Below are 27,509 nucleotides of genomic sequence, written 5' to 3'. Positions count from 1 at the left end.
TGATCTCTGCTCACTGCAAGCTCCGCCTCCCGGGTTCATGCCATTCTCCTGCCTCAGCCTCCCAAGTAGCTGGGACTACAGGCACCTGCCACCATGCCAGTTTACTTTTTTTTTGTATTTTTAGTGGAGATGGGGTTTCACCATGTTAGCCAGGATGGTCTCAATCTCCTAACCTCGTGATCTGCCCGCCTCGGCCTCCCAAAGTGCTGGGATTACAGGTGTGAGCCACCACGGCCAGCCATCTAATTTTAAATCAGGGGCAAACATTAGGAAATCTGGTGGTTATGAATCAAATCTTGTTTAGGGCCCATGGTGCCTGAAGATATTGTTTGCCTTCCTGGACTGTTTGCTGGAGATAGTAATCTGACATCCTGCATGTCTGACTTGTACACAGCAGGTGACTTCCTGCGCTGGTTACAGTGGATAAGGGGTTGGTTTTCTTGGCAGGTTGTGGGTCAGAGTTTTATCTATGTAGATGGCCAGACCATTATCTGCTTGTATACTCACTCTCACATGACCATATATATGTATTCATGCTTGTTAAACATGTTTTAAACTTTTTTATGTATTTATTTATTTTAAGACAGATTGCATTTATTTATTTATTTATTTATTTTAAGACAGAGTCTCACTCTGTCTCCAAGGCTGGAGTGCAGTGGCGAGATCTCAGCTCACTGCAACCTCCGCCTCCCGGGTTCAAGGGATTCTCCTGCCTCAGCCTCCCAAGTAGCTGGGACTACAGTTGCCCACCACCAGGCTCAGCTAATTTTTGTATTTTTAGTAGAGACAGGGTTTCTCTATGTTGGCCAGGCTGGTCTTGAACTCCTGACCTCAGGTGAGCCGCCTGCCTCGGCCGCCCAAAATGCTGGGATTACAGGCGTGAGCCACCACACCCGGCCACTTTAAATCTTTTTGTTTGTTTGTTTTGTTTTGAGAGAGAGTTTTGCTCTTGTTGCCCAGGCTAGAGTGCAATGGCACGATCTTGGCTCACTGCCACCTCTGCCCTCTGGGTTCAAGTGATTCTCGTACCTCAGCCTTCCAAGTAGCTGGAATTACAGGCATGTGCCACCACGCCCAGCTAATTTTTTTGTATTTTTAGTAGAGACGGGGTTTCTCCATGTTGGCCAGGCTGGTCTTAAACTCCTGACCTCAGGTGATCCACCTGCCTCAGCCACCCAAAATGCTGGGATTACAGGCATAAGCTACCGTGCCCAGCCACTTAAAACCTTTTTAAATGTTATCTGGGCAATGCATTCACCAATATAGTATCATTGGAAAGGCGAGAATGACAGGATCACTAGAACGAATTATGCCTCTCCGCTTCACACCCTGTTTCAATTGTCCTCCATTCTCCTGGGAACCCCTGTTAATAGTTTTTGGTTCATTCTACCTGCCAGTTATCTCAATATTTTAAGGAATGCCGCTATTTTTTTTCCTAGTAGAATCATAAAATAAAGGGTTGTACCACTTGCCTTTTCCCCCTTAATGATTTGTCCTGGGGGATACTTCTGGGTTGGTTCCTCTTTGATTTTCTGCACAGCCTGCGTTGCATTGTGGACCAGAGCTCATTTCACCTGCGGGAGCATCTGTTTCTTTTTTGACATCTATGGAGAGGGAATCCACTATTGTCTGGATGCTGGTGGGAGGCCAGGCTTTGCTCCTTGTTAGACAGACCCAAAGAGACAGATACTTGTCTTCGTTGCATTGCCGTCAAGATGTGAAGTGATGATTTATGCCTGACCTCAAAGATGTCTTATCAGGGACCTTCAAAATTCTGAGGGAAGGATGTAACAAAACAAAAAAAGTTCAGTAGTTATTCGTGATGGAAGCAAGAATGCTTCAACAGAGTCTGGGGTCTACAGGTAATTCAACAAAGCTGTGTCCTAAGCAGGCTGTGTATAACTGGGGCATGGCAGGTATACACATGGACTTCTTATCCACCAGCCTTCATGGGGTTCTACTTATAATTCCCTAATCTTCTCATCCTTTATCTGACCTGCCCGATATCTATTAAATTTCTTCAATCAACTAGAGTCTGTTTCTCTTGCTGGCAACCAACAACTGTACATAACCCTTAACCATCAACCTATAAATTGATTCCAACTCATTCCCAGTGTTTTGCAAATAAATACCTTTTTGCAGCCAATTCCCTTTACACAGTCTTTGTGCACCTGCGACCTGCAGGCTACACTCCTACACATTGAATTGCTGGTTCAATGGATGGGTACTTTTTTAATCTCTCCAAATAATGTGTAAATGGGCCATCTAGAGTTGATGTTACCAGTTTCCACCCTTAACAGAGAATCCTTTTGCCCGATACCCTGAAACGTGTCAGTATTGTCCATTTTCTTTGTATGTTTGCCAAATGTATGGACAATTATGGCCTCTTTTTTTTTAATGTTGTATTTCTTTCCTTATCTGGCATGTTGATTATCTTTTCACAAAAGCACTTACCATTTGTAATTATTTGGTACGGTGTACATTGCTGAGGTCAGGTGTATAGGGAAATGCTATTTCTTAGTGAAGGATGAAAAAAAGTTTTTATTTTAAAGAGGAAAAAAAAAAGCTGCCATGTGGGAGACCTGAGAAGCCTCCTGAGATGTCAGACATTGGGGGTTTCATTGACAGTTTCAGCCACTGCTCTGAAACCCACTGGAACACCGGCCACAGAGACCACATGTGCACGGCTGCCCCAACACCCCAGGACTGACTCTGCAGGGATACTGAGGCAGACCCATCCCTGGGAGAAGCAGCAGCAGCACTCCTAACTTTGGATCCAAGATTCCTGGCGGCCGTGCCAACAAGCTATGCAAACAGCATTGCAGCCTTAGTTCTCTCTCTCGTCTCCTTCACTTCCTGCGGCATGGTTAGAGCTGCAGCAGTCAGATGTGCAGTGAGATGAGCACTGCGTGGGGTCTGGTCAGAGCTGCAGGATGGTCAAAGCTGAAGCAAGATCAGATGTAAGGTCTGCACAGAGCTGCAGGATGGTTACAGCTGAAGTGTAGTCGGATCTACAGTAGGGTCAGAGCTGTGGCACAATCAGACCTGCACTATGGTCAGAGCTGAGATATGGTCAGAGTTGCGGTATGATCACAGCTGCAGTACAGTCAGAGCTGAGATACGCTCAAAGCTGTGCTATGCTCAGAGCTGTGGTATGATTAGAGCTCCAGGATAGCGAGATCTACAGCATAGTGAGAGCTACGGTAGAGTCAGAGCTGTGCTATGGCCAGATCTGTGCTATGGTCAGAGCTGAGGTATGGTCACAGTTGCGGTATAGTCAGAGCTGTGCTATGCTGAGAGCTGCCGTACAGTCAGAGCTGCGGTATGATTGGAGCTGTGCTGTGGCAGGAGCTGCAATATGGTCTCAGCTGCAGTATAGTCCAATCTACAGTAAAGTCAGAGCTGGGGTATAGTCAGAGCTGTGCTGTGGTCGGAGCCGTGGTATGGTCAGAGCTGCAGTATGGAGTTTGAGGCTGCAGTGAGCTACGATTGCACCACTGTACTCCAGCCTGAGCAATAGAGCAGGACCCCCTCTCAAAATAATGATAAGATTAATAATAATAGTTCAGTTTTGCAATTTTTTTCTAACAAATGTAAAATAGTACTAATTCATAACGACTCTAACCCATCAGTCTCTCCTGTTGCTAGCCAAGTTCAGCTGCCAACTTCAGTGTCCAGCTATGTAGCAAATGCCACCTATACTGAGAGGGCTCAGTAGAGCATGAGGACTTTGAGAGCTTTCTGAGATAAATCAAACCGAAGAGTCACAGCTCTGAGTGTGTATTCAACCACCTAAATTTAATTCAACATAAGCAGATGGTTTGTAAGTGCTATGGTTAGAATATGGTTTGCCCTTACCAAAAGTCATGTTGAGGCTGGGTCCCCAATGTAAGAGTGTTTAGATGAGGCTCTGCCCTCGTGAATGGATTAATCCCTTCATGAATTAATCAATTAATGAGTTATCTAAGGTGTGGGTTAGTTATCAGAAGAGCAGGTCTGTGATCAAAAGCCAGGTTGTTTTTCTCGGAGGCCTGCCCCATCTCAAAACTCTCCAGAGAGAGTCCCCACTAGCAAGAAGGTCCTCACCAGATGCAGCTCCTCATTGTTGGACTTCCCAGCCTCCAGAACTGTCATAAGTATATTTCTTTTCGTTACAAATTACCGAGTCTTAGGTATTCGGTCATAGCAACAAAAAACAGACTAAGATAGTGAGTGTTCCAGTATGCCACGGTGAGTTTCATTTTACATCCTCTATCATGCTTCTGCTAGATGGCCTGATTTGTCTATAGGTGAGTTTCATTTTACATCCATTATTTCCTGCTTCTGCTAGAGGGCCTGATTTGTCTATAGGTGAGTTTCATTTTTACATCCATTCTTTCATGCTTCTGCTAGATGGCCTGATTTGTCTATAGGTGAGTTTCATTTTACATCCATTCTTTCCTGTTTCTGCTAGAGGGTCTGATTTGTCTATAGGTGAGTTTCATTTTTACATCCATTCTTTCATGCTTCTGCTAGAGGGCCTGATTTGTCTATAGGTGAGTTTCATTTTACATCCATTATTTCATGCTTCTGCTAGAGGGTCTGATTTGTCTATAGGTGAGTTTCATTTTACATCCATTCTTTCATGCTTCTGCTAGATGGCCTGATTTGTCTATAACCATCAGCTCTTTTAAGATGGCCCTGAATTTCTTTTAGAATTTTAAGGTAATGAATGCCCCTGGGAAGGTTTAAAAACTCACAAATCATGTCAAAATCGGTTTCAATCAAATACCAACCCTTTACTTCAGAATTTATCTGAGCTTCTGTTAGAATACAAGCCATCCAGGGAAGGAGGAAGGATCTTAGGTTTTTACCAACAGTGACCTTGGGCAAAGATTTCTTCCCTTTTCAAGTTTCTCCTAAGTTTAGTGGGGATGTGCATGAAGAGTGAGATGATCTCTGTAGAAGATTCTGCCCACTACCACCTTCTTTGCCATAGGAGGATTTTTGTCATCAGTCACTCCCTCTTTTCACCGAATTTCCAGCATTCTTTTCAAAATAGTCCTCCAGACCCCGGTGTGCTAAGTCCACCCCGGGTAGAAATTCCCTAGCAAGCCACAGATATGTCACAAATGCTATGGACGAGAGTGCTCCCAGGTACCTGATTGACAGTATCTGCAAATGGGAAACTTCTGAAATGCCCATCAGCAGCAGAGTGGATCAATAAGTCTCGATGTGTTGACCCAAGAAAATGCTAAACGTCGTTGACAATGAAACAGCTATATTGACACGCCATGACATGGATGAATCTCACAAACATCATCTTAGGCAGAAAAGGCTGAATTATACCCTGAACCCCCAAAATCACCTACTCTATATGATGTATTTGCATGAAGTATGAAAATGTTCAAAACTACCAGCAGCGTTAGAAGACCGTGATGGCAGCAGAGGGATGGTGACTGTCAGCAGGCGTGTGTGGAGCTCTCCAGGGAGCTGCTAGTGGTGAGTCACCATCTGGATCTCAGTCTGTTTATGGGTAGTTTCATTTGGGGAAATAACCTGGGCATGCTCTTTTGATCTAAGAATGCTTTCCATCTATGCTGTGCATTGATACGTTATAAAAGAGCCCTCCACGCATTCCTTACCTATGAATTTTTTTTTTTTTTTTTTTGAGATGGAGTCTTGCTCTGTTTCCCAGGCTGGAGTGCAGTGGTGCAATCTTAGCTCACTGCAAGCTCTGCCTTCCCCGGTTCACGCCATTCTCCTGTCTCAGCCTCCTGAGTAGCTGGGACTACAGGCTCCCACCACCATGCCCAGCTAATTTTTGTATTTTTAGTAGAGACGGGGTTTCACCGTGTTAGCAAGGATGGTCTCGATCTCCTGACCTCGTGATCCGCCTGCCTCGGCCTCCCAAAGTACTGGGATTACAGGCATGAGCCACCGCACCCGGCCAACCAATGAATCTTAATTCCCTCGCGTGATAAACTAAGGACAAGCACCAGCAAGGAAAAGATAAGCTTTAGTGCACAATTAAGCGAATTAAAACAGAGACCGCCAGCCCTGCCAGCAACACTCGCAGACACAGTAATAATGCCTGTGATTTCTTCATGTTTTCCCAAGAAGAAAGCTCACCAAAGCATAGTTACATCCAGTGCCTGTGGTTGGTAGATGCTGCATTCGGTACCGGATCCCCTTGGGAAAAAAACAACAACAACAGATGAACTGGGCTTACAGGCAGCAGAACAAAGACGGATGAAGGATAGAAACTCATTCTTCTCCCTGTTCTTCCCACTTACCCAGTGCTTAACGCCAAAGTCTGCTTTCTGAGCTTCTAGTTTCTCTCTTTAAGTCTCAAAAGTAGACTATGTGACTCTTGTGTCATGAGTATGTCTAACTAGTCTTTGGAGTAAAACCAAAACAAATCTAGCATTTCAGTTGATTAATTCTGTATTCTTATGTAGGATATTATTTTAACACAATGTTGGGAATTTCCCTCTTCCCCACCCCAAAATGCTGCAGGACAAGTCATTCCCCAATGTAGGTGGTATGACTACATTTATACTTGTCACATATTTCAATGTGTTACATTTGCCTGAAATCATAATTAAAACACGATTCGGAACTAAATTTGGGGCTTGCATCTGCTATGACCTTACCATTTGCCTAAGCCCAAATTCTTCCTCGGCAGCACAAAATTGACACTTTTCTGAAACTCAGGTTGTTCCCTGACACGGGAGAACAGCCTGCCTGCTGAAATTAAGGGGTGACACTTGGACTGCAGCCTGGCTGTCTGAGACCTTCAGGAGCAGAGAAGAGAAGCATAGCTGCACGGCAGGGTGAGGCGATGTCAACAGAGGCACGTTGCTCCCCTGACAAATGCAATGAACCTCCAAATCTGACATTTCCAGAAGGTAAACAAACTTAGCTGAGCTGTCTGCGTTCCCTGGAGCAGCTCTGAAGGTCTTTGCTGCCTGCTTTGAAGATGGTGACTCAGTGCTTCCTACAATGAAATTTATTCCAAGGGCTGCAAAGGCACAGTTGAAAAGCCGACCCTACCATCAGCATCAAAGCTACCTCAGGAAACAACAGGGCTGATGGCACCTCAGCTACATGTGTGTCTAATTACTATCAAAGAATCAGAATCAAGATAACCAGGAACCCAGTCCATCCTCACCCTGCTTGCTTCCTGTGGGCAGAAGCCTGGTGATTACAAGCTCTCAGCCACACTGACTGAAGCTGCAAACCCAGAACTGTCATAAACTTTTCCAGGCATGCACAGCTAGTCCTGAAACCCTCTAGGTCTCAGTTGGTGCACCTGTAACTTCAGATAATAATGGTGTAACCATGATGAGAAGGCTGTAAAATTAAACGAGGCAACGCACATAAAGGAAGCTCTTGGGATAGCCCCTTAGACACTGCAAGAGCTGGGTAAATGTCAACTATCACTGTTATGATTTTAGTTATTAACAAGAGTAAGCTCTGCCTCCAGTTCCCCAAGGTACCCTGAGCTGTAAAATCCAGGAGGCTCCAAATCCAGGAGGCTCCTACATCTGGATGATATGGATGAATCTCACAAACATCATATTGGGCAGAAAAAGCCGAATTATACCTTCAGCCCACAAAAGGAATCAACGACTGAGACTTTTGCTGAACAAAACTGGGGTAGGCAACATTTGGGACTGTCCTTACCACGTCTCAACCTGTATTCCATGGCCTCCCTTTTCCCTAGCTCCTGAAACGTCAGGTCCTGCCACTGGGAACTGTTGCCATGGTGCCCCAACAAAGTCTGCCCCCATGTGGTTGGCCCTAGGAACATTTTTCTTCTACCAGTCATGTCTTCTCAACCTGCCATCGGAAAGTATTCAACACCGGCTGAGTGCGATGGCCCACACCTGTAATCCCAGCAATCTGGGAGGCCAAGGTGGGAGGATTGCTTGAGGTCAGGAGTTCAAGGCCAGCCTGGGCAACATCACTGTGTTGCTCAGGCTGGAGTGCAGTGGGTGCAATCATGGCTCCCTGTAGCCTCAAACTCCTAGGCTCAAACAATCCTCCCACCTCAGCCTTCAAAGTAGCTGGGACTACAAGTGTGCACCATTACACCTGGCTATTTTTTATTTTTTTTGTACAGATGAAGATCTCAGCATTACAATATCAGCCAGCTGTGGTGGCACAGAGCTGTGGTTCCAGCTACTCAGAAGGCTGAGTTGAGGGGATATCTTGAGCCCAGGAGTTCAAGGGGGCTGTGAGCTATGTGATTGCCACTGCGCTTCAGCATGGGCAGCAGAGGAAGACTCTGTCTCAAAGAAAAAACAAAAAGGTATCCATCACTGAGGTCTCAACACCACAAGTATACAAGCATCTTGTTGTGAGCTGATTAATTTGATTCCTCCAAATAAGACCATTTTCAAATCATGTAGTGAGACCTGGATCTCTCCATGGGATACCTTTAACAGGGAATTTTTAGGACGCTCAAGTTTCAGCAGTATTCAGCTCTGATCTTTAACCTTACTAGACTAAAATGTGGTCACCCCTACAGCACAGCCAGGGAACATGTCCTGGAAAATGTCTTCATTGGGTCATTTTCCTTCATCTGTCCACTCTGTGTCTAGACCTCCCTGAACACATTGCTTGGGAAACAAGCAAAATTAAGCTGCTGCCTCTTTATATGAATGCTCTTGTACAAGTGCCAAATGATTTGTTAAGTCCTTGCACCAAGGAATACAAGGTAGAAAATGCTCGTGGAACTAAGGGTCTATATTATTAGCTAGTGTTTTTTGCACAAAGCAGCGTTTTCATTCTATTAACACACAGCTCAACAAAGTAATTCGATGAAAAGTAAATTGTCAATATGTGTATTAGTCAGGACAGACCAGGTGATGCTGCTATAACAAACAATCCCAGAATCTCAGCAGCTAACATCACCAAAGTCTGTTTCTCACCCATACCACCTGCTCACCAATGGGGGCTTCACTATTTGTCATCTTAAGACTAGGACCCAGGGGGATAAAGCAGCCCTGTTCTGGAATACTTCCACTCTCAGGGAGGGAGAGAGAGAACAAAAGATGTTCTCCAAATAGGAACGCTTTTACACTGTTGAGTGTAAATTAGTTCAACCATTGTGGAAGACAGTGGGGCAATTCTTCAAGGATCTAGAACCAGAAATGCCATTTGACCCAGCAATCCCATTACTGCGCAAATACCCAAAGTATTGTAAATCATTCTGCCATAAAGACACATGCACACGTATGTTTATTGCAGCACTATTTACAATAGCAAAAACAGTGAACCAACCCAAATGCCCATCAATGATAGACTGGATAAAGAAAATGTGGCACATATATACTATGAATTACTAAGCAGCCATAAAAAAGAATGAGTTCATGTCCTTTGCAAGGACATGGATGAAGCTGGAAGCCATCATTCTCAGCAAACTAACACAGACACAGAAAACCAAACACCACATGTTCTCACTCATAAGTAGGAGTTGAACAATGAGATCACATGGACACAGGGAGGGGAACATCATACACCAGGGCCTGTCAGGGGGTTGAGGGTGAGGGGAGGGAGAACATTAGGACAAATACCTAACGCACGTGGGGCTTAAAACCTAGATGATGGGTTGATAGGTGCAGGAAACCATCATGGCACATGTACACCAGTATAACAAACCTGCACGTTCTGCAGATGTATCCCAGAACTTAAAGTAAAATAAATATTTTCAAAAAATTATGTTCTCCAAGGGCAACCACGACCCAGGCTTCTGGGAGGAAGTGACACACCTCACTTCTGCTCAAATTCACAGTCCTTGGTGGTGTCTGAATTTAGTGGCATGGAAAAGTGTGATTCTCTGAAGCCAGGGGCACCTATATTTGTAAGCGATGAAAAAATTCTACTGTAAGAAGAAAATAAAAAATGGTTCGTACTTTACTACTCACCTGTATTCTGCTAACAGGAGGGGAAAAGTTGAAGCTTTTGAGATACATCACCAGAAAAAAAAAAAAAAAAAGCCATCAGAAAATAATACGTTCTTGATCCAGAAATTTCAAAGGCAGTTTTCTGCCAAGAGAGGGCTATGAAAATGCATCACTGGCTTTTATGGGGTTTGCAGGAATAAAAACATTCCCTTCTGTATATGACACAAAATCAAAGGTAATTGACGTGTTTCTAAAAAATTCCCCGTTTTACTTCTGTAACAAAAAAGAACAATAATAGCTAAGCTGAACAGATGTCAGTAGAACCTATTTTCCCAAGCTAACGACAAAACATCCCTCCTCAAAATCCCAGCCACTACAAACTGTTAAAGCTGCATATCTTACTGCTCTTATATTTAAGATGTCAGGAGGATGTGAATTTTTAATTAAGCCAGTCTTGTGAAAAGGCCTCACACATTATATATGGTTGGTTGCAAAATGGATCTTCGCACAAAGACAAGTGCTTGGGAATGATGTGTTTCATTTAGGAGATAGATCAGCAGGGATACTACAAATTTGCACTCTGAATCTTCCTTCCAATAGAAATCTCCCAATAGAAATAGGGTTTTGAGGAGTATATTACTTGGCTAAAGCCTCCATAACAAATCACCACAGACTGGGTGACTTAAACAATATATACTTATTTCCCACAGTCCTGGAGGCTAGAAATCTGAGATCAAGGTGTGGGCAGGGCTGGTTCCTCCTGAGGCGTCTCTCCTGGGGTTGTAGACACTGTCTTCTCCCTGTGTTCTCACAGGGTCGTCCCTCTGTGTGCGTCTGAATCTTCATCTCCTCTGCTTATGGGATGTCTTAGTCCATTTCAGGCTGCTAGCACAGAATACCATAGACTTAGTGGCTTATAAACAACAGACATTGATTCTCCCAAGTCTTGGAGGCTGGAAGTCCCAGATCCAGGTGAGGGCAGGGCTGGTTCCTCCTGAGGCCTCTCTCCTGGGCTTGGAGACACTGTCTTCTCCCTGTGTCCTCACAGGGTCATCCCTGTGTGTGTGTCTGTGTCCTCGTCTCTTCTTCTTATGGGATGTCTTAGTCCATTTCAGGCTGCTATCACAGAATATCATAGACTCGGTGGCTTATAAACAACAGACATTGATTCTCCCACAGTCCTAGAGGCTGGAAGTCTGAGATCCAGGTGTGGGCAGGGCTGGTTCCTCCTGAGGCCTCTCTCCTGGGCTTGGAGACACTGTCTTCTCCCTGTGTCCTCACAGGGTCATCCCTCTGTGTGTGTTTGTGTCCTCATCTCCTTTTCTTGTAAAGATACCATAGCTATAGGAGCAGGGCTCACCCTAATAACCTCATTGTGCCTTAATCACCTCTTTAAAGACCCCATCTCCAAACACAGTCACAGTCTGAAGTCCTGGGGATCAAGACTTCCATGTATAAAATTGGAGACGGACACAATTTGGCCCATAACAGGCAGTTGGCAACCCCAGGAGCCCAGAATAAGAGCTGTTGCTCCAGGAAACCTGTAAAACCCATCCGACATGTCTCTGCTCCTACAGTCTCGCTTTTGTCAGTCAGTCACCCCTCCAGCCCCGATCTCTCCCCCAGTGTCTGGTGTCTTTAGGAAGAGAGTTAACAGAGGACCGAAGTGTGAGCACTTGTTTCCGAAGAGTCTGTTGTCTGGAATATTTATGTGGTCAGAAGGGAGAAGTGATTTTTACAAGAGAGAAAGACAAGCCATCCCCGAGGTTTGGAGAGGATGACGGAACGATTGATGTGAAATGCCTGGTAGACTTTCAATCATGTCATTTCCAAGCACATCTCCCAAATCTCCAAATGAGCATATGTGTCAGGCTTTTGAGGAGTATATTAGTTGGCTAAGGCCGCCATTACAAAGGACCACAGACCAGGTCGTTTAAACAATAGGTATTTATTTCCCAGAGTTCTGGAGGCTGGAAGTCTGAGATCAAGGCATTGCAGGGCTGCTTCCTCCTGCAGCCTCTCTCCTTGGCTTGTAGATGCCATCTTCTCCCTGAGAACTCACAGGGTCTTCCATCTGTGTGTGTCTGTGTCCTCCTCTCCTCATTTCAGCCCTACATGAAAAGGTAGCTATGAGTATGGGGCCCTGTCTTAGTCCATTTTATGTTGCCAGAAAGGAACACCTGAGGCTGGGTATTTTATAAAGTAGTTCATTTGGCTCACAGTTCTGTAGGCTGTACAAGAAGCTTAGCACCAGCATCTTCTTCTCAAGAAGGATCTTGAGGACCTCAAGGAGCTTCCACTCATGACGGAAGGCAGAGGGGAGCCAGTGTGTAGAGATCACACAGAGACACAGGAAGAAAGAGAGACGGGTTGGAGGTGCCAGACTCTTCTGACAAGCATTTCTTGAGGGAATTGATAGAGTGAGAACTCACTCAGCCCTGAGGGAGGGCATTAATCTATTCAGGAGGGAACCACCCTCAGGACCCAAACATCTCCCACTACCCCCACCTCCAACACTGGAGATCAAATTTCAACATGACATTTGGTGGGAACAAATAACCCATATCCAAACTACGGTAACTCCCAAAGGTTAGCAGTTTCACGGATACATATTGAACTTTTTCCCAAAGCCGTTGCCTTCCTTGAACATCAGCTGAGCAAAGGGTAATCTCCCAAATTCACAAGATCAACATAGCTCTTGGTCAGTCTCTGATAAAACAGAATTATCTCCTCTGTGATGAATTACTGGCTCTGTACAGATAATTTCACCCCAAAATATGGCTCCTTTGCAAAACGAATATTTTAAATTAAAAACCCTTAAAGATTAAAAGACCTTGGAAGGGACTTTTCCCCATTGACATAAAAACCAGAGACATCCACCAAGTAAAACATTTTTTTTTTCCGTTCTGTATTAGTCTGTTCTCACGCTGCTAATGAAGACATATCCAAGACTAGGTAATGTATAAAGGAAACAGGTTTAATGGACTCACAGTTCCACATGGCTGGGGAAGACTCACAATCATGGCGGAAGGCAAAGGAGGAGAAAAAGCACATCTTCCATGGCGGCAGGCAAGAGGGCATGTGCAGCGGAACCTGGCTTTATAAAACCATCAGATCCTGTGAGACTTAATCACTATCATAAGAACAACACAGGAAGCACCTGCCCCCCATCATTCAATGACCTCCCACAGGGTCCCTCCCTGAACATGTCGGGATTATTACAATTCACTTTCCCTCCCTCCCTGGGATCTTCTTCTTGACTACAGGAAAGAACGTTAAGATGTAAGCCCGCTCAAACAGACTTTTTTACAAAGTAATGACTGGTCTCCAAGGAGTATTTAATTTCCAAAGGGAACCATTAATAAGTCAATCTCTGTTTCCTCCCCCTATTCATTCTCCCAAGTATCCATTCAATCTTCCTAGTCATCACTTATTACCACTCAACAGAATTACCTACATTCCCATGTCCCCTCTCGCCACCTGAAAGGAGGTTACAGAAGTATTTTGCCCCCATTGGGAGATTGAGTATACACTCTGTGATTCTCTTCATGCTCACAGTTTAAAAAAAAAAAAAATTGTATGTCTTTTCTCTGATTAATCTTCCTCATGATGAGTTGATTTGCAGTAAGCCCCACAAGGGCAAAGGACAAGATTTCCCTTGGGAAGCCAAAATAGCTGCTAGGCGACAAACTGTCAGGGAAGGAAGTGTGTGCTGAGAGCAAGCATCCGTTTCTTTCACCATGCATCTTCCAGATGGCCAAGGGCAGCTCTGAAAATACTTGTGAAGAAAAGAACACAACAATGAAGCTGGGATAGAGAGGCACCTGCCTGGAAACTTAATAAGCATGATGTTTGTTGGGTGTTTCCTTACCATGGTGGGCTAGATAGGGTCCTGAAAACAGTATGTTCATGCCGTAATCCCTGGAACGTAGTGTCAGAGGCGTTGGGACCAGAGTGAATGTATCTTGAATACAGAGCTGGGTAAAATGAGGCTGAGACGTACTGGGCTGCATTCCCAGGAGGTTAGGCATTGTAAGTCACAGGATGAGATAGGAGGTCGGCACAAGATACAGGCCATAAAGACCCTGCTGATTAAACAGGTTGTAGTAAAGAAGCCGGACAAATCCCACCAAATCCAAGATGGCAAAGAGAGCAACCTCTGGTCATCCTCACTGCTCTTTATACACTAATTATAACGTGTTAGCATGCTCAAAGACACTCCCACCAGCGCCAGGACAGTTTACAAATGCCATGGCCATGACTCAAAGTTACCCTGTATGGTCTAAAAGGGGGAGGAACCCTTCACTCTGGGAAATCTCCTCCACTGTGCAGAAAAACTCATCAATAATCCACCTTGTTTACCATACCATCAAGAAACAACCACAAAAATATCCAACCAGCAGCCCTCAGGGCTGCTCTGCGATGGAGTAGCTATTCTTTATTTCTTTACTTACTTTTTCTTTTTTGAGATGGAGATTCACTCTTGTTGCCCAGGCTGGAGTGCAGTGGCGCCATCTTGGCTCACTGCAACCTCCACCTGCTGGATTCAAGCAATTCTCCTGCCTCAGCCTCCCAAGTAGCTGGGATTTGCAGGCATGTGCCACCACACCCGGCTGATTTTGTATTTTTAATAGAGACAGGGTTTCACCATGTTGGTCAGGCTGGTCTCGAACTCTTGGCCTCAAGTGATCTACCCGCCTTGGCCTCCCAAAGTGTTAGGATTACAGGCATGAGCCACTGCGCCCAGCCTATTCCTTTACTTTCTTAAGAAACTTGCTTTCACTCTAGTCTAGGGACTTGCCCCAAATTCTTTCTTGCCTGAGGTCCAAGAACCCTCTCTTGGGGTCTGGAGAGGGACCCTTTTTTTTTTTTCTTTTTCTTCTTTTTTGAGACGGAATCTTGTTCTGTCACCCAAGGCTGGAGTGCAGTGGCGTGATCTCGGCTCACTGCAAGCTCTGTCTCCTGGGTTCACACCATTCTCCTGCCTCAGCCTCCGGAGTAGCTGGGACCACAGGTGCCCACCACCATGCCCGGCTAATTCTTTGTATTTTTAGTAAAGACGGGGTTTCACCGTGTTAGCCAGGATGGTCTCGATGTCCTGACCTTGTGATCTGCCTGCCTCAGCCTCCCATAGTGCTGGGATGACAGGCGTGAACCACTGCACCTGACCCGAGAGGGAGCCCTTTTAGTAACACTAGGATTGTGACCTACAGGACCAGGACATATGCCTCCCCTGATAAGCCAATCCTAGGGTAGCCCTGTGCAGTTTCAGGACCAATTTTCCTTCCAACAAGCTCTCAATGCTCTTCTCCACAGGCACATCAAGCTCCTGTGCTACTCCAAGCAAAGCAGACGCAGACTGTCCCCCGAAGGGCATCTGGCACGGGCAAAGATTCTCTGATGTCTCTTCAGATGTTTGCATAAGGATTTGCTTATGCAACTGAGAAAAGAGGAGAATCCTGTTTCTTCCTTATGTTCAATGACAGGAAGAGTGGGAGTTTGCTTGTGTGGAGATAAGCTCTGTGCTCTTGAGCTCACCTTGTAGGAGAAGGAATATGCCAGGAAGATCCACAGATGCTCTCTTATCCCTCCCTTTTCTTTCCAGGCTGGAAGTCCCTTCCAAGAACAGCGAGACTGCAATTCATAACCGTAAAGCAGGAACGTAAGGTGGGTTTGCATGTTAACAGCACGAATCAACACTAACCGGAGAAATTACGGGAAAAATGATGGGATGGTGCGTCCTGAGAAACGACGGTGCTTTGGGTTGAGTGAGCTGGTGAGTGAACACGAGGTGAACAGTGGATGTCGCTTTTTCGTTATCATTGGAAACATCTGATTGATCACAACAAGCTTTTCTTTTTTTTTTTTTTTCTTTTTTTGAGACTGAGTCTCCCTCTGTCACCAGGCTGGAGTGCAATGGCATGATCTCGGCTCACTGCAACCTCCACCTGCTGGGTTCAAGCGATTCTCCTGCCTCAGCCCCCCGAGTAGCTGGGGCTACAGGCGCCCGCCACCATGCCCAGCTAATTTTTTGTAGAGATGGGGTTTCACCATGTTGGTCAGGCTGGTCTCGAACTCCTGACCTCGTGATCCGTTCCCCGCCCCCACCCCCCCTTGGCCTCCCAAAATGCTGGGACTACAGGCGAGAGCCACCGTGCCTGGCCACAGGAAGCTTTTCTAAATTACATTTATGTGAGCTTCCCTGCAGGTCACTGTGATACATGAAGGGAACCCTAAAGGGTAAATATTTTTGTCTTTTCTTTTCCTCGTGATTTTTCTCCACTGGGAGACAGGAGTCAATACAAACATCAAAGGGCTATGTCGTCTATTTCATTAGGATAAAATAAGTTACCTGGAATTCTGCCAAGAGCTTTGGAGAAGGAAAGTTAACTACACCGGCGCGGTGGCTCACGCCTGTAATCCCAGCACTTTGGGAGGCCAAGCAAGGCAGGCGGATCACCTGAGGTCCAAGGTTCGAGACCAGCCTGGCAACATGGTGAAACTTGGTCTTTACTAAAAATACAAAAATTAGCCGGGCATGGTGGCAGGTGCCTGTAGTTCCAGCTGATCAGCAGGCTGAGGCAGGAGAATCACTTGAACCCAGGAGGCAGAGGTTGCAGTGAGCCAAGATCGTGCCACTACACTATTACAGCCTGGGCGACAGAGCAAAACTCCAAAATCACACGCACACACACAAAATGTAAAGAATAAGCTGGGTACAGGGGCTCATACCTGTAATCCCAGCACATTGGGAGGCCAAGGCAGGCAGATCACCTGAGGTCAGGAGTTCGAGACCAGCCTGGCCGACATGGTGAAACTTAGTCTTTACTAAAAATACAAAAATTAGCCGGGCATGGTGACGCATGCCTGTAGTTACAGCTGATCAGCAGGCTGAGGCAGGAGAATTGCTTGAACCCAGGAGGCAGAGGTTGCAGTGAGCTGAGATCCTGCCACTACACTATTCCAGTCTGGGTGACAGAGCAAGACTCCAAAATAACATGCATACACACACACAAAATTTAAAGAATAGGCTGGGTGCAGGGGCTCAGGCCTGTAATCCCAGCATGTTGGGAGGCCGAGGTAGGCAGATCACCTGAGGTCAGGAGTTCGACACCAGCCTGGCCAACATGGTGAAACTCTGTCTCTACTAAAAATACAAAAAGTAGCCAAGCATGGTGGCGCACGCCTGTAATCCCAACTAATCAGGAGGCTGAGGCAGGAGAATCACTTGAACCCAGGAGGCAGAGGTTGCAGTGAGCCAAGATCGTGCCACTGCACTATTCCAGCCTGGGTGACAGAGCAAGACTCCAACTCACACACACACACACACAAGAAAAATTTAAAGAATAGGCCAGATGCAGTAGATCATGCCTGTAATCCCAGAACTTTGGGAGGCTGAGGCGGGCAGATCACCTGAGGTCAGGAGTTCAAGACCAGCCCGGCCAACATGGTGAAACCCTGTCTTTACTAAAAATATAAAAATTAGCCAGACATGGTGGCACACGCCTGTAGTCCCAGCTAATCAGGAGATTGAGGCAGGAGAATCGCTTGAACCCAGGAGGCAGAGGTTGCAGTGAGCCAAGATCGTGCCACTGCACTATTCCAGCCTGGGTGACAGAGCAAGACTCCAACTCACACACACACACACACACACACACACACAAGAAAAATTTAAAGAATAGGCCAGATGCAGTGGCTCATGCCTGTAATCCCAGCACTTTGGGAGGCCGAGGCATGCAGATCACCTGAGGTCCAGAGTTTGAGACCAGTCTGGCCAACATGGTGAAACTCTGTCTTTACTAAAAATACAAAAATTAGCCAGGCATGGTGATGTATGCCTGTAGTTCCAGCTAATCAGGAGGCTGAGGCAGGAGAATCGCTTGACCCCAGGAGACGGAGGTTGCAATGACCAAAGATCACACCACTGAACTACTCCAGCCTGGGCGACAGAGTGAGACTCCAACTCTCACACACAGACACACATACAATTTAAAGAATAGGCCAAGTGCAGTGGCTCATGCCCATAATCCCAGCAGTTTCAGAGGCCAAGGAGGGTGGATCACTTGAGCCCAGGAGTTCGAGACCAGCCTGGGCAACATAGTGAGACCCCTGTCTCTACAGAAAATATAAAAATTACCTAGGCATGGTGTTGCACACTTGTGGTCCCAGCTACTTGGGAGGCTGAGACAGGATGATCACTTGGGCCCAGGAGGTGGAAACAGCAGTGAGCCAAGATCGCACCACTGCATTTCAGCCTGGGCCACAGAGAGATCCTGTCACACACACACACACACACACACACACACACACACACACACAAACCCAAATTAAAAAATACAATTCTGGCCAGTCACGGGGGCTCATGCCTGTAATCCCAGCACTTTGGGAGGCCGAGGCGGGCGGATCACCTGAGGTCAGGAGTTTGAGACCAGCCTGGCCAAGATGGTGAAACCCCCTCTCTACTAAAAATACAAAAATTAGCCAGGCGAGGTGGTGCGTGCCTGTAACCCCAGTGGCTGGGCACGGTGGCTCCTGCCTGTAATCCCAGCACTTTGGGAGGCCAATCACTTTGGAGGGGGCGGATCACAAGTTCAGGAGTTCGAGACCAGCTTGGCCAATATGGTGAAACCCTATCTCTACTAAAAATACAAAAATTAGCCAGGCGAGGTGGGGCGTGCCTGTAATCCCAGCTACTCGGGAGGCTGAGGCAGAAGAATCACTTGAACCCGGGACACGGAGGTTGCAGTGAGCCGAGATCGTGCCACTGCACTCCAGCCTAGGCAACAAAGAGAGACTCCATCTCAAAAAAAAAAAAAAAAAAAAAAAATACACTTCTCACGTTTCCAACGGACTGAATGGGTCCCCTGTTGGCCAAGGGGTTCTCAAAGCAACCTGAGAAGCTAGTTCAGGCCATGACAGGAAATGGGGGTTGGACCTGCCTCCCTTGGAAGTTTAGGCACCACTGACCAGCATTAACATTTAAAACAGAGAGTTTAAGATGGACCAGACTTTTTGTGCAATGAGATCCCAAACTCCGATTTGACTCTGGTAGAGCGTTACATGACAGATAGCAGGCCTTGAAGGAATCAAAGTATTTGACCCCAATGGCCCTGCAAAGCCATTTCTTCTGTAGAGATGTACAAGGTCCTTTCTGGAGATTCTGACAGCTGTTAACGCCCAATAGGACAAGTTCACCATCCATTCCCTCTGTAGCCTGCTATCTGGAGGCTTCATCTACATAACAAAAACCTTGGCTTCTGCAGCCCCCTTTCTCTAAACCCAAGCATTTCTCTCCCGTGATTTCAAACTTTGCAGGCAGAGCTTGACCCTTTCAAGCACTTGCCAATCAAGAAGTCATTTCTTCTTTTTTTTTTTTGGAGACAGAGTCTAACTCTGTCACCAAGGCTGGAGTGCAGTGGGGCAATCTTGGCTCACTGCAACCTCCACCTCCCAGGTTCAAGTGATTCTCATGCCTCAGCCTCCCAAGTAACTGGGATTACAAGCATGTACCACCATACCCAGCTAATTTTGTTTTTGCATTTTTAGTAGAGACAGAGTTTTGCTATGTTGTCCAGGCTGGTCTCAAACTCCTGGCCTCAACTGTTCCACCTGACTTGGCCTCCCAAAGTGCTGGGATTACAGGTGTGAACCACCATTCCTGGCCTAAGAAATCTTTAAATTCACCTATGACCTGGAAGCCTGTCCCCTCTTTTTGAGCTAAACCAATGTGTCCCTTCCATGTGCTGATTTATGTGTCTGCCTGTAACTTCTGTCTCCCTAAAAGGTATAAAACTAAGCTGTAGGCTGGGCACAGTGGCTCACGCCTGTAATCCCAGCACTTTGGGTGGCTGAGGCGGGCGGATCACAAGGTCAAGAGATTGAGACCATCCTGGCTAACACAGTGAAACCCTGTCTCTACTAAAAATACAAAAATTAGCCAGGTGAGCTGGCGGGCACCTGTAGTCCCAGCTACTCAGGAGGCTGAGGCAGAAGAATGGTGTGAACCCAGAAGGCGGAGGTTGCAGCAACCCAAGATCGCACCACTGCACTCCAGCATGGGCGACAGAGCAGGACTCCGTCTCAAAAAAAAAAAAAAAAACAAAAAACAAACAAAAACAAAAACAAAAACAAAAAAACAAACTAAGCTGTAACCCAACCATGTTGGGCCCATGTTCTCAGAACCTTCTAAGGCTGTGTCATGGACCATGGTCCTTAATCAATGTAGAGGTTTATTTTGCCAAGGTTAAGACCTGTCTCAGAGGCCTTTTGGTTTGCAAATACATGCAAGTTATACATCTGTTTAAATCTAAAATGGTGAGATGTCTTGAAGTGAGGGCTTATGGGTCATAGGTAGATTCAAAGATGTTTCTGATTTGTAATTGGTTAAGGAAGGGAAGACTTATTTAGAAATCTGGGGTCAGCAGAACTAAAATGTTAACTGGCTTGTGGGGTGACTCTCTGCAGGACCCTCAGGAAGAAATTTATTTTTTTTATTTTTATTTTTTGAGATGGAGTCTCACTCTGTCACCCAGGCTGGAGTGCCGTGGCACGATCTCGGCTCACTGCAAGCTCTGCCTCCCGGGTTCACGCCATTCTCCTGCCTCAGCCTCCCGAGTAGCTGGGACTACAGGCACCTGCCACCACGCCTGGCTAATTTTTTTGTATTTTTAGTAGAGACGGGGTTTCACCGTGTTAGCCAGGATGGTCTCGATCTCCTGACCTCGTGATCCGCCTGCCTCGGCCTCCCAAAGTGCTGGGATGACAGGTGTGAGCCACCGTGCCCGTCCTCAGGAAGAAATTTAGAACAAAGCATGATGGCCAAAGCTCAGAGTTCCCACTCCCCTTGTCTTGGGTCTAAGTGCCAGTGCCACCCCCAATTCTTGTGCCTGCTTTTCCCAGCTCCGTGGGGGCCCCAAGTTCAGAGTCAGGTTTATGAGGGATGCTTCAACCTTCTGCTGTAGGAGAAACTGTAGACCCAGACACGGAGCCTGGAGGTTCAGCCCGAGTCCTGGTCACCAAGTTTTGTCCTCAATCTTTCTATAAACCATGGCTCTGAGGTGGAGCAGAGACCCTTCTTTTTAGGGGCCTGCAGAACTCACGTGTGAAAATAAAGGAAAATCTTGAGTTTCTACATGGAAAATTCCAGGTATCTAGCTAGCCTCAGATATAAAGAAGTAACTTGATAAACAAGAAGGTAATAGGCCAGGCAGGGTGGCTCATGCCTGTAATCCCAGCACTTTGGGAGGTTGAGATGGAAGGATCACTGGAGGCCAGGAGTTTGAGACCAGCCTGGGCAACATATAGGGAAACTCTGTCTCTACAAAAATTTTAAAAATTTAGCCAGGCATGGTGGCTCATGCCTATGGTCCCAGCTACTTGAGAGGCTGAGGTGGGAGGATTGCTTGAGCCCAGGAGTTTGAGGCTGCAGTTAGCTATGATTGTACTCACTGCACTCCGGCCTGGGTGACAGAGCAAGACCTTCTCTGAAAAAGAGGAGTGGGGAGGAGGGAGAAGGAGGAGAAAGAGGAGGAGGAGGAGGAGGAGAAAGCGGAGGAGGAGGAGGGAGAAAGCGGAGGAGGGAGAAAGCGGAGGAGGGAGAAAGCGGAGGAGGGAGAAAGCGGAGGAGGGAGAAAGCGGAGGAGGGAGAAAGCGGAGGAGGGAGAAAGCGGAGGAGGGAGAAAGCGGAGGAGGGAGAAAGCGGAGGAGGGAGAAAGCGGAGGAGGGAGAAAGCGGAGGAGGGAGAAAGAGGAGGAGGGAGAAAGGAGGAGGGAGAAAGAGGAGGAGGGAGAAAGAGGAGGAGGGAGGAGGAGGAAGAGGAGGAGGAAGAGGGAGAGAAGAGGAGGGAGAGAAGAGGAGGGAGAGAAAGAGGAGGGAGAGAAAGAGGAGGGAGAGAAAGAGGAGGAGGAGGGGGAGGGGGGAAGGAGGGGGAGGGGGGAAGGAGGGGGAAGGAAGAGGAAGTGGAGGGAGAAGAGGAGGGGGAGACGAAGGAGGAGGGAGAAGAGGAGGACGAGGAAGGAGGAGAAAGAGGAGGAGGAGAAAGAGGAGGAGGGAGAAGAGGAGGAGGGAGAAAGAGGAGGGAGAAAGAGGAGGGAGAAAGAGGAGAACGAGGAGGAGGAGCAGAAAGAGAAGGAGGGAGGAGAGGAGGGAGAAGAGGGAGAAGGAGAAACAGGATAAGAAGAAAGGAGGAGGAGGGAAAAGAGTGGGGGAAAGGAAGAGAAAGTGGAGGAGGAAGAAGAGGAGAAGAGGAGGAGGAAGAGGAAGAGGAGGAGGAGGAGGAGGGGGAGGAGGAGGAGGGGGAGGGGGAGGAGGGGGAGAAGAGGAGGAGGAGAACGATGAGGATGAAGGGGAGGAGGAAGGAGGAGGAGGAGGGAAGGGAAGGAGGGGGAGGAGGGAAGGGAAGGAGGGGGAGGAGGAGGAGAAGTGGAGGGAGAAGAGAAGGGGGAGAAAGAGGAACAGGAAGACAGGAAGAGAAGAAGGAGGGGGAAAGAAGGAGGAGGAGAAGAAAAAGGAGAAAACCAAACCACAGCATGCCCTGAGAAGGCAGAACATTCCATGAAGCTCTGAAGAAGTTAGCAAATGCTGCCTGAGAACGGATGTGCTCTCTCGGTTTTAACGGCTCCAGCATTAACTCAGTCAGGAAAGACAGAGCTCGGGGAAAGTTAAGTGTGACCTTATTCAGATGTGAAGAATTAGGCCAGGGGCAGTGGCTCACCCCTATACTCCTAGCAGTTTGGGAGGTCGAGGCAGGTAGATCACTTGAGGTCATGAGTTCGAGACCAGCCTGACCAACATGGTGAAACCCTGTCTCTACTAAAAATACAAAAATTACCTGGGCGTGGTGGCACATGCCTGTAATCCCAGCTACTCTGGAGGCTGAGGCAGGACAATCGCTTGAACCCAGGAGGCAGAGGTTGCAGTGAGCCGAGATCGCACCATTACACTCCAGCCTGGGCAACGAGAGCGAAACTCCATCTCAAAAAAAAAAAAGAAAGAAAAAGAAAAAAAGGCATGAAAAACTAGTGTTAGCAGGATCATAAACTTCCCGAGTGGTGATAACAGACAGACCCTGCAGAGAAGTTGCCAAGCCTCATCCTACTCACCCACCGCTCATCTCCAGCCTGAGAAGCTCAAGATTGAACTCTCCAGTCTGAGGACTGAGAAGAAAACATGGCAAGAAATGATCTGGCTGCAGAAGGTCCCTGTCCGAGACTTCAAATACCGATCCTGGAGAATGTGCTTCAGGTCTCGAAGCACCCGCTTCTCTTCAATTCTACTTTCTGACCATTTGGTGCAAAAAGCTGGCCAGGTTTGGCTTTTGCAAAAGACGCATTTGCCACAACCAGAGATTCGTACCTGCGGCACGCTCACCTTGCTGTTCCCTGAGGATGTCTCACATGAGGCAACGGGTCGGTGGGTGGTTTGCTGGATCACGTGCAAACCCAGGCAAAGAGGATCTGCTATTGCAGACTTCATTTCTGCAGCCTTGGAAAGCCGTCTCAGGCCGGGCGCGGTGGCTCACGCCTGTAATCCCAGCACTTTGGGGGGCTGAGGCGGGTGGATCACGAGGTCAGAAGTTCAAGACCAGACTGCTCAACATGGTGAAACCCCATCTCTACTAAAAATACAAAAAAAAAAAAATTAGCCGGGTGTGGTCGTGGGCGCCTGTAATCCCAGCTACTCGGGAGGCTGAGGGCAGGAGAATCGCTTGAACCCAGGAGACGGAGGTTGCAGTGAGCCAAGATGACCAATGCACTCCAGCCTGGGCGACAAAGCAAGACTCTGTCTCAAAAATAAATAAATAAATAAAGGAAAGCCATCTCAAATCTGCCTCTCGGAGGCTCACAGACAGACGCGAGCCGGTTTCTGTGCTATGAACGCTGACAGTTCGTCTTCACAGTCCAGACCCATCTACTTCACCCGTCCTTCAGAACCATGTCATCTCTGTGACTCAACTTATACATGAGTGGGCAGACTGCTCCTTGCTTCAGCCCAGGAGGCTCAATGCCCTCTCTTGGCTTGAAGGGAATGACAGAGAATCTCCCCCACTCCTTTTTTTTTTTTTTGAGTTAGAGTCTCACTCTCTCACCCAGGCTGCAGTGCAGTGGTGCCATCTTGACTCACTGCAACCTCCACCTCCTGGGTTCAAGTAATTCTCCTGCCTCAGCCTCCCGAGTCGCTGGGACTACAGTCACCCGCCACCAAGCCTGGCAAAGTTTTGTAATTTTAGTAGAGACGGGGTTTCACCATATTGGCCAGGCTGATCTCGAACCCCTGACCCTCAGGTGATCGGCCTGCCTCAGCCTCCCAAAGTGCTGGGATTACAGGAGTGAACCACGGCGCCCGGCCCCCTCTCCTTTTTTTCTTCAATGCCGAGAGCAGCAGCTTAGTAGACGGGTGAGGCACAGACCTTTGCTGAGTGGGCTAAAAAACAGGATGCATCTGGCTGGGCATGGTGGCTCACACCTGCAATCCCAGCACTTTGGGGGGTTGAGGCAGGCAGATTACCTGAGGTCAGGTGTTCCAGACCAGGGCCAACATGGTGAAACCCCGTCTCTACTAAAAGTACAAAAATTAGGCGGGCATGGTGGCATGCACCTGTAATCCCAGCTACTCAGGAGGCTGAGGCAGGAGAATCGCTTGAACCCAGGAGGCGGAGGTTGCAGTGAGCCGAGATTGCACCACTGCACTCCAGCCTGGGCGACAGAGCGAGACTCCAACTTAAAAAAATAAATAAAGAAAAACAGGATGCATCCAGCTTGTCTCACACACTCTACCCTGGGTTTATATTTATTTTCCACGAGGAAACATCCAAAATCAGGGGTCAGAGTCAAGGTTCCCCACCTTGTCCATGACGAGATGGGCCAGTCCACATCACAGGCACAGGTAGGAGACCCCAACACAGTGTCCACTGTTCACATTCTAAAGGTGACTGTCGGCCAGGCACGGTGGTTCACGTCTGTCATCCCAGCAATTTGGGAGGCCGAGGCGAGCAGATCATCCAAGGTCAGGAGTTCGAGACCAGCCTGGCCAACACGGTGAAACCCCATCTCTACTAAAAATACAAAAAATTAGCCAGGCGTGGTGGCACATGTCTGTAATCCCAGCACTTTGGGAGGCCGAGGCAGGCAGATCACGAGGTCAGGAGATTGAGACCATCCTGGCTAACATGGTGAAACCCCATGGCTAAAAATACAAAAAATTAGCCAGGTGTGGTGGCGGGCGCCTGTAGTCCCAGCTACTGGGGAGGCTGAGGCAGGAGAATGGCGAGAACACGGGAGGTGGAGCTTGCAGTGAGCCGAGATTGAGGCACTGAACTCCAGCCTGGGAGACAGCGAGACTCCGTCTCAAAAAAAAAAAAAAAAAAAAAAAAGAGTTGGAGACCAGCCTCACCAACATGGCGAACCCCGTCCCTACTAAAAATACAAAAATTAGCTGGGCATGGTGATGGGCGCCTATAATCCCAGCTACTCAGGAGGCTGAGGCAGGAGAATCCCTTGAACCTGGGAAGTGGAGGTTGCAGTGAGCCGAGATGCCGCCACTGCACTCCAGCCTGGGTGACAGTTTAAGACTCAGTCTCAAAAAATAATAATACTAATGAATACATAAATAAAAAATAAAGGTGACTGTCGGACCTCATCCCACCGCCAAAATGCACCTGCTGTGTCTAGTGTGCCTATTAGAGAGAAGAGGAGGCACTAGTGATTTCCATCTGGAACCTGCGGCATGTACAACCTCAACTTTCTGTCTACGCTGTGATGTGCGCCCTCAGAAGACTCCATCTCTGCACCTGACACGCAAATACCCAGGAGAGAGGGGGCAGATGAATAGCCACCGTCTTCTGTAGTTTATAAAAATGCTAGTTGTTCGCTTGAGGTCAGGAGTTCGAGACCAGCCTGGCCAACATGGTGAAACCCCGTCTCTACTAAAAATACAAAAATTAGGCTGGGTGTGGTGGGGGCACCTGTCATCCCAGCTACTCAGGACGGTGAGGCAGGAAAGTCGCTTGGACCCGGGAGGTGGAGGTTGCAGTGAGCCAAGATCACACCACTGCACTCCAGCCGGGTGATAGAGTGAGACTCCGTCACAAAAACAAAGAAACAAACCAACAACAACAACAACAAAACTCTAGTTGTGATATTTAGGGCCCATCTAAACAATCCAGGATGATCTCATGTTGAGAGGCTTAATTGTGACAGCAAAGACCCTTTTTTTTTTTTTTTTTTTTTTTTTTTTTTTTTTTTGAAATGGAGTCTTGCTCTGTCACCAGGCTGGAGTGCAGTGGCCTGATCTCGGCTCACTGCAACTTCCGCCTCCTGGGTTCAAGCAATTCTCTTGCCTCAGCCTCCCAAGTTGCTGGGATAACAGGCATGCACCACCGTGCCCGGCTAATTTTTGTATTTTTAGTAGAGACAGGGTTTCACCATGTGGGCCAGGCTGGTCTCAAACTCCTGACCTCGTGATCCACCCACCTCGGCCTCCCAAAGTGCTGGGATTACAAGCGTGAGCCACCGCACCCGGCCGACCCTTTTTTTTTTTTTTAAATAAAGTCACCTTCCCAGGTTTTAGGGAGAAGGGCACGGACTTATCTTTTGGGAGATGCCATTTAAAGCACTATGGTTGTTATCAGGCAGGTTCTTCAGAGGGGAGAAGAAACTGGATATTCCCGTGCCTCAGAGGAGCTAGGGGCCTGATATCAAAAGAGTAACAGAAAGTTAGCAGGCTCCAGCAGAAAGGAAGCACAGACATATCTACCCCAGCCAGCCCCTAAGACTGCGCTAAAAAACCAGGCTACATGCTTTCAGACCGTTTTGTTTGCAAGACAGAGCCTTGCTTTGTCGCCCAGGCTGGAGTGCAATGGCGTGATCTCAGCTCACTGCAACCTCCGGCTTCCAGGTTCAAACGATTTCTCCTGCCTCAGCTTCCCAAGTAGATGGGACTACAGGCATGCGTCACCGCACCAGGCTAATTTTTTCTTATTTCAGTAGAGACAGGGTTCCACTATGTTGTCCAGGCTGGTCTCGAACTCCTGACCTCAAGTGATCCACCCACCTAGGCCTCCCAAAGTGCTGGGATGACAGGTGTGAGCCACTGCGCCTGGCCTCCAGGGGGTTGTTTATTTTTATTATTACTATTATACTTTAAGTTCTGGGGTACATGTGCAGAACGTGCAGGTTTGTTACATAGGTATGCACGTGCCACAGTGGTTTGCTGCACCCATCAACCCATCATCTACATTAGGTATTTCTCCTAATGCTATACCTCCCCTAGCCCCTCACCCCCTGACAGGCCCCGGTGTGTGCTGTTCCCCTCCCTGTGTCCATGTGTTCTCATTGTTCAACTCCCACCTATGAGTGAGAACATGTGGTGTTTGGGTTTCTGTTCTTGTGTGAGTTTGCTGAGAATGATGGTTTCCAGCTTCATCCATGTCCCTGCAAAGGACATGAACTCGTCCTTTTTTATGGCTGCATAGTATTCCATGGTGTGTATGTGCCACATTTTCTTAATCCAGTCTATCATTGATGGGCATTTGGGTTGGTTCCAAGTCTTTGCTGTTGTCAACAGTGCCACGAGGGCGTCTTTTAAAGCCTGATGCTGACCGGTAGATTCCGGCGCTGT

General features: G+C 47.5%; 1 long non-coding RNA gene across 6 annotated transcripts; it reads right to left on the bottom strand.

Annotated features, from left to right (window-relative positions):
- Nucleotides 1-1,473: 1,473 nt before the first annotated feature.
- On the bottom strand, nucleotides 1,474-25,039 carry LINC02968 (long intergenic non-protein coding RNA 2968). Of its 6 annotated transcripts, none has more exons than XR_007068380.1 (8): nucleotides 24,735-24,985; nucleotides 23,247-23,508; nucleotides 15,432-15,527; nucleotides 13,765-14,175; nucleotides 12,884-13,671; nucleotides 9,915-10,166; nucleotides 6,112-6,171; nucleotides 1,474-1,774 (listed from the first exon to the last, which is right to left on the bottom strand). It is a non-coding gene; the product is annotated as a long intergenic non-protein coding RNA 2968 (long non-coding RNA). The 6 variants fall into 6 exon arrangements; XR_001755765.2 differs by having other exon boundaries at nucleotides 13,765-13,981; nucleotides 23,262-23,508; nucleotides 24,735-24,902; XR_007068378.1 differs by having other exon boundaries at nucleotides 13,765-13,978; nucleotides 23,262-23,508; nucleotides 24,735-24,902.
- Between the last annotated feature and the right edge of the window lie 2,470 nt (nucleotides 25,040-27,509).

The sequence above is a fragment of the Homo sapiens genome, chromosome X (genome assembly GCF_000001405.40).
Source record: "Homo sapiens chromosome X, GRCh38.p14 Primary Assembly".
NCBI classification, from domain to species: Eukaryota; Metazoa; Chordata; class Mammalia; order Primates; family Hominidae; genus Homo; species Homo sapiens.
Note: the sequence above shows the minus strand (reverse complement) of the source record. Positions and strands in the feature narration are given on the sequence as shown.